This window comes from Homo sapiens, chromosome 7 (genome assembly GCF_000001405.40).
Source record: "Homo sapiens chromosome 7, GRCh38.p14 Primary Assembly".
In the NCBI taxonomy this organism is placed as follows: Eukaryota; Metazoa; Chordata; class Mammalia; order Primates; family Hominidae; genus Homo; species Homo sapiens.
In genome coordinates this window covers 89,622,595-89,633,046 of record NC_000007.14, presented here as the reverse complement: position 1 = coordinate 89,633,046, position 10,452 = coordinate 89,622,595, and the positions used below count along the sequence as shown (strand labels likewise).

General features: G+C 39.2%; 1 annotated feature.

Moving 5' to 3' along the window:
* Positions 8,008–9,207: an enhancer, noted in NCBI's record as "CDK7 strongly-dependent group 2 enhancer chr7:89253154-89254353 (GRCh37/hg19 assembly coordinates)". NCBI's record gives its function as "activates an origin of replication core promoter dependent on BRD2, BRD4, P300/CBP, MED14 and CDK7 cofactors, with strong dependence on CDK7, by STARR-seq in HCT116 cells {active_cell/tissue: HCT116}" and the evidence as "EXISTENCE:reporter gene assay evidence [ECO:0000049][PMID:35650434]".

Sequence of the window (10,452 nt, the reverse complement as noted above, 5' to 3'; positions counted from 1 at the left end):
CTAAAAATATAACTACTATACGATGCAGCAATCACACTATTTGGTGTTTATCCAAAGGAAAAGAAATCAGCATGTCAAAAGGATACCTGGACTCACATCTTTATTGCAGCACTATTCACAATAGCAAAGCCATGTAATCAACCTCAGTGTCCATCAATGGATAGATAATAAAGGAAATATGGTATATATACACAGTGAAATTCAATTCAGCCAGATAAAAGAATAAAATTATGTCATTTGCAGTAACATAAATGGAACTGGAAGTTATTATATTAAGTAAAATAAGCCAGGCACAGAGACAAATATCATATGTTCTCACTCATATGTGGGGGCTAAAATAGTTGATCTCATGACATAGATAGTAGAAAGATGCTAGTGGCTGGGAAGTGTGTGGGTGGATGTAACGGATGAAGAAAGGCTGGTTAATGAGTACAAATATATAGTCTGATGGAAGACCCAAGTTCCAATGTTCAACAGCAGATTAGGTTTTAGCCATAAAATTGTTGCCTAGACCAATGTCCTGGAGTGTTTTCCCTATGTTAACAACGATGTATTATAAATTTCAGAGTAGCTAGAAGTGCAGACTTGAATTGCTCCCAACCCATAGAAATGATATATACTCAAGGTGATGGATATGCCAAATACCCTGATTTGATCATTACACATTCTACACATGTAACAAAATATTACACGTACCTTATAGATATGTAAATTATTATGTATCAATTTAAAAACTATCTGAATTCAAGGCTTGTTATAAAGTTACAATAATCTAGATAGCTTATTATTTTTGAAGGATAGACATATAGATCAATGAAACTGAATAGGGTCCAGAAGTAGACCCATATTTATATGGTAAGTTTCATTTTAATAAAAATGTGAAGGTAATCCAAAGAAGCAAAATAGTGTTTTCAAAAAATGACTCTGAAATAATTAGATACCTTATGGACAAAAGTAAATGTCTTGCAATAACTCACCATGACATGAACATCATCTAAAAAGATCTTATGAACCTAAATATAAAATCTAAAACTATAGAAATATAAAATAAAACATATGAAAATAATTTTGAGAATTTGGAGATGCAAAGAATTTTTAGATTTGATAGAAAAAGCACAGATTATAAAAGAAAAATATTGATCAATCAGATGTTATTAACATTGAGAACTTAACTTTGGGTCATTAAAAAAAATGTTCGGAAAAATAACAAGGCAAACCCGACTGGGTGAAAAGTGTGCGTGTCCATATGCGCTTGCATGTATATCAGATGAAAAGCTAGCATTCATAATGTATAAATAGTTCTTAAAGTTCAATAAAGTAAAGATAACCCAATAAAAACAAATAGTGAAAGTTTTGAACAAATTCTTCATAAAACATAGTATGTTACTGGCAAAGAAGCATTTAAATCATACTCAACATCACTATTCATCAGCCATTTTAAATAAAACCATTATAAAATACCACAACACATCAACTTGAACATTTAAAAGACTGTCTGAATGTCAGACAAATGGAACTCTCATATATTGCTGACAGAAAAGTAAAGTTTCCAGCTACTTTGAAAATCAGTTTGATGCTGTGTTAGTCCATTCGCATTGCTATAAATAAATACTTGAGGCTGGGTAATTTATAAAGAAAAGAGGTTTATTTTGGCTCACAGTTATAGAGGCTTTACAAGAAGAATGGCACTAGCATCTGCTCGCCTTCTGGTGTGGGCATCAGGAAAATTCCACTCATGGCATAAGGCAAAGGGGAAGCAAGTGTGTCCCATGGCAAGAGCAGGGGGAAGAGACAGGAGGAGATTCCAGGCTCTGTTAAGGGACCAGGTATCATGTGAGCTCATACAGTGAGAACGCACTCATTACTGCAAGGATGGCATGAAGCCATTCAAAAGGGATCAGCCCCCATGACCCAAATACCTCCCACTAGGCTCCACCTGCAACATTGGGTATTACATGTCAATATGAAGGGACACACATCCAAGCCATATCAGACAATTTCTGATAAGGTTAAATACACACTTAAAATAGAGCTAGCAATCCTATTCTTAGGTATTTATGCAAAAGGATTGAAACTATACTCACACAAAGTCTTGCACATACATTTATTTATATTATCAAAATAGGAAACAACCTTAATGTCTATTAACTGATGAATGGATTAAAACATTTGTATATTCATATATAACACTCCACAGGAGTAAAAAAGAATACACTACAGATACAAGATAGATATGCACTAAAACATAGGGCCAAGTGAAATAAGCCAGAAATAGAAAAGAGTACATACTATGTATTTATTTAAAGTTTTCTTTACCTTTTTATTTTTTTTATAATTTCAAATTTTATTTTAGATTCAGGCAGTATGTGTGCAGGCTTCATACCTGGGTATATTATGTGATGCAGAGGTTTGGGATGTGAATGATTCCCTATATAGTAAGCATAGTACCCAACAGTTAGTTTTTCAAACCTTGCCTCCCTCCCCACTCTAGTATTCCCCACTGCCTATTGTTGCCATGTTTATGTCCATCAGTACACCATGTTTAGCTCCCACTTGTAAGTGACAACCTGCAGTATTTGACTTTCTCTTTCTGCATTAACTCACTTAGGATAATGTCTTATAGCTGCCTCCATATTGTTCTAAATGACATAATTTCCTTTTTGTGGCTGCATAGTGTTCCATGGTGTATATGTGCCATATTTTCTTTATCCAATCCACCATTGATGGGCACCTAGACTGATTCCATGTCTTTGCTATTATTGCAGTAGTGAACATACAAGCACATGTGTCTTTTTGGTAGAACACTTTACTTTCTTTTGGATGCATACTTAGTAATAAGATTGCTCAGTCAAATGATAATTCTGTTTTAAGTTATTTGAGAAATATCCAAACTGCTTTCAACAGTGGCTGAACTACTCCCCATCAACAGTGTATAAGCGTTCACTTTTCTCCACAGCCTCACCAGCATCTGTTATTGCTTTCTTCAACAGCACATGTACTAATAATGGCCATTCTGAATGGTGTGAGATGGTATGTTGCAGGAGGACTCATATCTAACAACCCCTCCCCTTGTATTTCCTTACAGTTTTCTTTTCAAACTTTTTAACATGTCTTGGCTTAGTAGATGTAGCTTATCCAATCTACATTTTTATTGTCACCTACCAAAATATTTACTTAAATTCTGCAGCTATTTGATTTCGGGTTTTAAATTGATCTGGTATTCCCTGTGGGACTCCAATTGTGTCTAAATAGACGTGAGAGTCGAAAGACCCATAAGGGGCTTCTCTCACTTTACGATGTCTTTTTTTCCTTCCTCTGGTTGATAAAATTCCAGGGTGAATGGGATAGCCGATTGGACTAAAGCACAAGTACCGCTCCAGTTATTCAGCAGAGTGTCCAGTAAAGGTCCACCACAATACCACCACACATCTGCTCGGGGATGAACAAGGGCTGATTGATAAGCTCTTTTAAATCCTTAAGTTCACTGCATCCCTTCAGGTCTCCAAGGAACACTAACTTTCCTCCCTGTCATGAGAGACACAAAGTGAACTTAGTGGTGGGAGATGGAAGCTGGATGGCCCTCAGGGTGCCGGACTTCAGGATATAGCAGAGAGAGATCTTGGCATGACTTATTACTCCAGGCTGTAGAATCCTGGAAAAGAGCTACCATGCAGCCCATGCCCCATCAACTGGAGGACCACCTTAGTGGAAAGGGGACAATCTGGGCCTCTGGCCTGCTATGCGCACAGCATAACAATTGCTTTTGTTTAACATGCAGACAGAATATTTGATCCATTCCAACCAGGCATTTGCATCTTGGTATCCTGTCTTAATTGCCAAAGTATGTTTTAAGTCTTTAACTTTTACAATAGCTATCTTGGTCTTGTTGTTAGATGGAGGAGGAACAATTGTTCCATTGTAAGAGGTTTTGGAAGAAGGCTTAGAGGAAGGTGCAGGTGGTGGGGGATCAAAGAAATGCACTTCAAAGAATCTAACAGGGTTTGTCCCTGAAACCTCAGTCCCCATACCATAAAACTGGCTTAAAGAAGGGAACCGGCTTAGAAAAGGGGAAGAACTTTGAAGGTTTGAGATAATAACCCATATAGAATTACACTGGTTTAGCCGACAGTTAGCGGGGAGGGCTGTCCCTCTAGTAAAATGAATGTATGGTTTTAGGAAACTACAAAAACTGGTTGGGGCAGTCCATTGTTGTTCTTTAGTGGTCCACAGAACGTTGGACTAACTATGGCATAAAAGCTCTAGATTGGGGAGCAAGACTCCTGGTTGACACTGGGGTCTTTATTGAAATCTCCCTGGATTAAATGGTCCCAATTCACTAGTGCCCAGTCTGAGGAGAGTCAGGAGGGACAGAGGTGCTTTTCTGAAGTAGAGAGCGGTCTTTGACTTGGCAGGTCCCCACAGGGTATAACAAGGCAAGCATTAAATGCAATAGTTTGAGGCAAAATTGACTTGGTTATGTTAATAACTAGTTGGTCAGCAATAGAGTGAGGAAAGAAGAAAGAGTAATAGCGTAGAAGAAAGAGAGTTAAATTTTTTTTTAGCGTTAGTTTGGTAGGGTTTTTCCCCTGGGACCATGGCCCACGACTCTGGAGGGGGCGGCGCTTTCTTGACTTGGATGTGATGAGTCCATCCCCTTTATGCTGTATGAACAGCAGTCTCAGTGGTTAGCAGCAAAAGGTAGGGTCCTTCCCAGGCTGGCTCAACTTTTCCTTCTTTCCACCCTTTGATGAGAATGATCTTCAAGCTGGTGCTGGCTTACTGGAAATTCTAGGGGTGGTACCTGTGCTGAAAGACTTTTAGTTTTGAGGGAAAGGAAAGGGGAAGATAAACCAAGTATATAATTTCTAAGAAATTGATCTTTTGTTTTAAATATGGGGACATCAGCAGTGGACTTTATAGTCTTTGGTGCCTTCTTACTGAGAAATTTCCTTTAGCACCTATTTTTATTAGTTTTTAGACCAAAGAAAGCCAAACACCACTTTATATTTAACAATGCTTCCTGTATGATTTTTATACCAGATAAGCTAAATTTCACCTTTGTATTAGTGTGTTTTTAATGTTAAACTCAATTTTAAAAAAATCTTATAGACATATTTATTTAATTTTAACATCTAACCATAAGGTAAGATTTTTTATAGACTGCTTTTAACCTTTTATAATTTTTGTTAAAGAGCAAGTTAGTGCTTTAAGAAAAATCTGTTGTGCTTTAATTTTAATGTCCAATTCACAGAAAAACTGGATGATACCTTTTTAACTTTAGCCAATATGTTTACACACAGAATTTCCTTTACAATTAACATTTTAAAACTTGCTTAAACCTTCAAAACAGAACATTTTTTAACCTTTTAATGTAGATAAAAATCCACATTATTATGCCTCCGTATAATCCTTTTACCAAAAGTATATTTTACTTTCCTTATACACCTTTCACATAAACTGTTTCTTTAATAGTTTTACATTCAGGAGGCCTAATTACTTTTAAATTATACATTTCTTGCATAAATTCCCTTTTACAATACAGTTTTATTTTTCCACGACTTTCACAGACAATTCTTCAACACGCTTCAACTTTCTGACTTGTTGCAAACATCCCTTTCTTTAAACAACCAGTTAATTTTTTAGGACAATAATTTACCATATAACATTCTTTTTACATAAATTCTCCCTTTTTTTTTTTTTCCAAAGATGATAACCATTCTTTTCCAAGGCGAACTTCCTTCATGTCTGTGGACTAGACTGCCTAAGGCCACAAGATTAGAAGTTAGGGTAATATATGTTACACTGTTAACTTGTAGCAAATTTTACTTTTGTTGAAAACCTTGTAAGTTTGGGATTTCAATTATCTTTCGTTATTAATAAGACCTTGTTTAGTCCAAATTAACTTAGAATTGGTATAGATGGTTCTTTCCTGGTTCTGTAAATACTTTAAGGCTTGACTGGGTGCAAACAGCTCAAACATTTGAGCAGACCAATTATTAGGCAATTTTCCTAACTCTGCTCTTACAAGAGTTTTCCGATCAATTACTGAATACCCATCGTGTCTTTTTCCCTCAATCACCTGGGAGGAACCATCTATCTATGGTACTGTACTGAAGGGAGTTCCTCCTAGGTCTGGTCGGAACTTTGTATGGTAATTAAGATTTAGATCCCCTGTTAGGAAACCTGCTGGGTTAAGGGAATTTTCAGTGGTTAGTGTTAAATCGTCTTTTTCTAACAGAATAGCCCGATACTTTAAGATTTTTAAGATTTTTGAGTTGGTAAGCTACCTTTTTCCTTTTTCCTTTTTTTTTTTGACTTAGGCTAGTTCTGAACTGGTGAGGTGTGCTCACAATGAGGTTTCCTCTAAAAGCTATTTTTCTACTTTCTTCTGCTAGCAAAGTAGTTGCCACTACAGATTAAATGCATGTGGGCCATCCTGGGTTACCGGGTTAAGGATTTTTGATTAGGAAGGCTACGGGTTGTCAGTGGCCTCAGTGCTTTCGGGCTATGCCCTCGTTTATACTGACAACAAGGTGGTATTGGAGTGTTATAGTGTCACGGAGAAGACCTTTAATTATCAATTATAGGTTTTAAATTTACCCTGGCTTTTAAAGGAATAGGGTACATTGTTTTCTCTTTACTACTTCTATGTCTCTCTCTTTCTTTCTCTCTTTGACTCTGTCTCTCTCTTTCTCTCTGACTCCCTCTTTGTCTCTGTCTTCCTCTCTCTCTGCCACTCATTTTCTCTCTGTTTCTGTTTTTCCTCTCTTTCTCTCTGCTTCCTTTCTCTCTCTCTCTCTTTCCTCTCTGCTGGTCTTTCCCTGCCTCTGCCAGCTGCTTATGCTGCTGTTCTCCCCTCTCCTTCCCCTTTTACCCCAGAGACTAAGTTCCTCTGAGGAGGAGACAACATTAGACGGGGGGAAACAAACACAGGAGCGAGCAAACTCTGAATCGACTAAAAAGGTGATAAGCTCATGTTTAGGTCCCACCTCCAAATTTATCAAGGGCTCCTGGTGGGACTCAGGATAAAAGAGATAGAGCCCCTGACCCCCCATTCTTCCTTGAAAGTCATGAGTGGAAGGGCTTCTTTCTCCTTTCTTTGTTCAGGACATCCTCTCTTGAAGTGGCCTGTTCTTCCACGTCTATAGCACCTATCTTGTCCTTCCTCCCTCTTAGTTCTGGAATTCTTTAACCCTGCTCCCCCATACTCTTTAGGGGGCCTGGTAGACAAGGACCTTGGTTCTCCAGATGGAGGCTGGGATCCTTTTAGAGAAGGGTCTTTAGGTTGGTAGGGAACAGGTGGTGGGACAGTAATTCCTAAGAGTCAGGGTTATAACGAGGAGGGATAATGTGAGTAGAGGGGGAATTTGGAATGGGATCTGAGGCGGCAGTGGCTGTCTGAGGGGAAAGATTGGGGACACTGAGTGGGGGAAGATAGTCTAGGGGATCCCATGCACTGGAGTCTTTAGGCATGACAGCTGGCTCCTCTGACTTTTCATTTTGAGGTGCCAGATTGGGTTTTTCCCTATTTGTTTTTAAGGGAGAAAAGGAGAGCAGGTCCTTGCCTCCAACAAAGGGCATAGCCTAGTTCCTCTTGAGACACTGGACTTTTATCATTAACATATCGGATTAGAAGCTTACACATCACATACTCATTCGACCCAAACTTTGGCCAGAATATTGAGGGTTTGAGGATGGGTCTGAGTCCAAATAAAACAGTAATATTTTATCATTTGTTGCTTTTTCCTCTGTTTAGTCCTTTTATTATCCTTCCAGTGTTTTAGCATGAGACTAGGGGGCTACCTGGGGGGATATCTTTGTTACCATCTTTATCCCCCTTGCTCCCTGTCTTGCTTGGGGTATTTCCCATCTTGATGGTTTGGGATAAGGTTCAAGGTTCAATTTCCCTTACTGGAAATTTCTCACCTTTTGGGGTGAGGCTCAATTTCCCCGCTGGAAATTTCTTGCCTTTTTGAGGTGAGGCTCAATTTCCCCACTGGAAATTTCTTGCCTTTTCTACTACTGGAGGTTCATGTGAGGTTGAAACCCCCCCAGTGGAGACGTCTCGCCGCTTTTTAACCTCTAAGCCACCCCAACCAAGGAGTACTTCACCACCACACCCCCCTCCGAGGGGGTCCTGACCACCAGGGAAATACTGTACCGGCTCCCGTGGCTTCTCCTTCCTTGGTCTGTGCGCAGAGTCATCGCAGCAGTATCAGGATCCTTTAAGCTAGGTTGCTGGCCAATCTTTTTTTCTTTTTTCTGCGTTGTTCAGTGCTCAGGTTATTCCTCGCACTGGGTGGGTTCTGATTTCTCACCCCTGAGGCTGCCACAAGGAGCGGGGTGTGTACTTCCTCATGAGAGAGAACCAGAGACCATCCCCAGAGGGAAATGTAATTGTGGGCGAGCCCCCAAATTGTTATATATAAAGTTTCGGTGCCACAAAATAAATAGCACTTGAATATAAATTTTTCTTTTTAATTCTCAGCAAGGCAAGGTACTTCTATAGAAGGGTGCACCCTTACAGATGGAGCAATGGTGAGCGCACACTTGGACAAGGGAGGGGAAGGGGTTCTTATCCCTGACATACGTGGCCCCTGCTGCTGTGTCATTCCCCTATTGGCTAGGGCTAGACTACACAGGCTAAACTAATTCTGATTGGTTAATTTAAAGAGAGTGACTCAGTGAGTGGTTTGGTGGGGAAAAATGGTTATGACAGAGCAGGGTAATCGGAATGAGTCAGGGAGGAGCAGGTGATTGAAATGAGTCAGGGTGGAGCAGGTAATCGAAAAAGGTTGCTTTATGAGGAAGTTAAGTTTAAAAGTAGAAGGTAAAGAATTGAACATACTAACATATCGATTATTTGAAAAGAAATTTAGAAGTCATAGCTAAAACTTTGTATGTAATGTGATCTTTTCCTATAGTTGCCTTTTAGATTTTTTGTTTAACATTGCCCTTCAGCACTCTGGTGACTATATGCCTTGGTGTAGTGTCCATTTTTTATATTATCCCAAGAATGTTCTCTGGATGTCTTGTATCTAAATGTCTACCTCTAGCAAAATTTTAAAAAATTGAATTATTACCTCAAATATATTTTCCAGTTTTGCTTTTTCTCCTTCTCTCTCAGGAATGCCAATAATTCACAAGTTTTGTCATCTTACATAATTCCATATTTCTTGAAGATGGTTCATTTTCTAAATTCTTTTTTCTTTATTTTTGTCTGACTAGGTAAGCATGAATGACTGGTCAAGTTCTGAAATTCTTTCTTCTGTTTGGTCCAATTAATTGATAAAGGTTTCAGTTATATTTTTAAATTCCTTAAGGGAAATTTTCAATTTAATATATTTATTTATTCATTCATTTCCTGTATTGTTTAGAAGGTTTTTTTTTCTTGTTGTTGATTTCCACCTTGTCTTGGATCTCATTGAGCTTCCTTGCAATCTATGATTTGAATTCTTTGTCTATCATTTCTCAGTTTCCATTTTGTTTAGGGACCATTTCTGTAGAGACAGTGTGATAGTTGGGTGGTGTTAGTGTGTTCAGATTTTTCATGTTTGTCAGAATTCTTATGCTGGTTCCTTCTCATCTGGAAATGCTAGCACTTCTAGTTTATAATTATTTTCATGCAAGTAGGATTTTAAATTTTCTTTCAATAATATTACTGATTTTTTTCTTTCCTTTCCCCCTTTCCTTAGGGTGTGTGACTTTAGAGAATATTGAGTAGGGTGTTTTGGCTTTGCTTCTACATCCCTACATGCTTCTTTTGACAGGTTTTATATTGAGTTGTGCAGTTTGACGTACAGCCAGTAGATGGCACTTATGGGTAAGAGCTGGCTGCAGTTAACATGGCTGGATATATACTTGATCCTTGCTGACCAAAAGAAGCTCTCTACATGGAGTGCACAGTGTTCTGAGCTCAATGCCAAGCCCTAGATGGGTGAGAGATGGATGAGGCTAGATTGGGAAGCACTGACCACCAGTCCCCTGATGGCAGGCATAAGCACCAGTGCTGAGGAAGAATCCAGTGGGTGACCAGCAAGTTCCCAGATGTGTGCCTAGGAATGGAGCTGGGAAACCTCCTTAAACCAAAGTTCTCTGAACAAGCTGGGGATAGGGGTGGCCTAAACTCCTAATCAAGGAGAGTGGATGCTACAGGTACTTGGAGATCTGCCTGGGCATGGAGTTGATAGAACCCTGCTGCACCACAGCCTCTGTACTGGAAGGGTGGGGCATCTCAAGCTGGTAATACGGATGAACTGGTGCTCCAGCTGCCTGGAGATCTGCCTGGGCTTGGGTTGGATAGGGCCCTGCTTCCTCACAGTCTCTGCAAGGAATGGTTTGGCAGCGTAGGCTGTTGATTCAGGTGAGCAGATGCTCTGAATGCCTGAAAATTTGACTGGGTGTGGAGTGGAAAGGGACCCTGCACAAGGATCTTTTTACAGGACAGGTGGT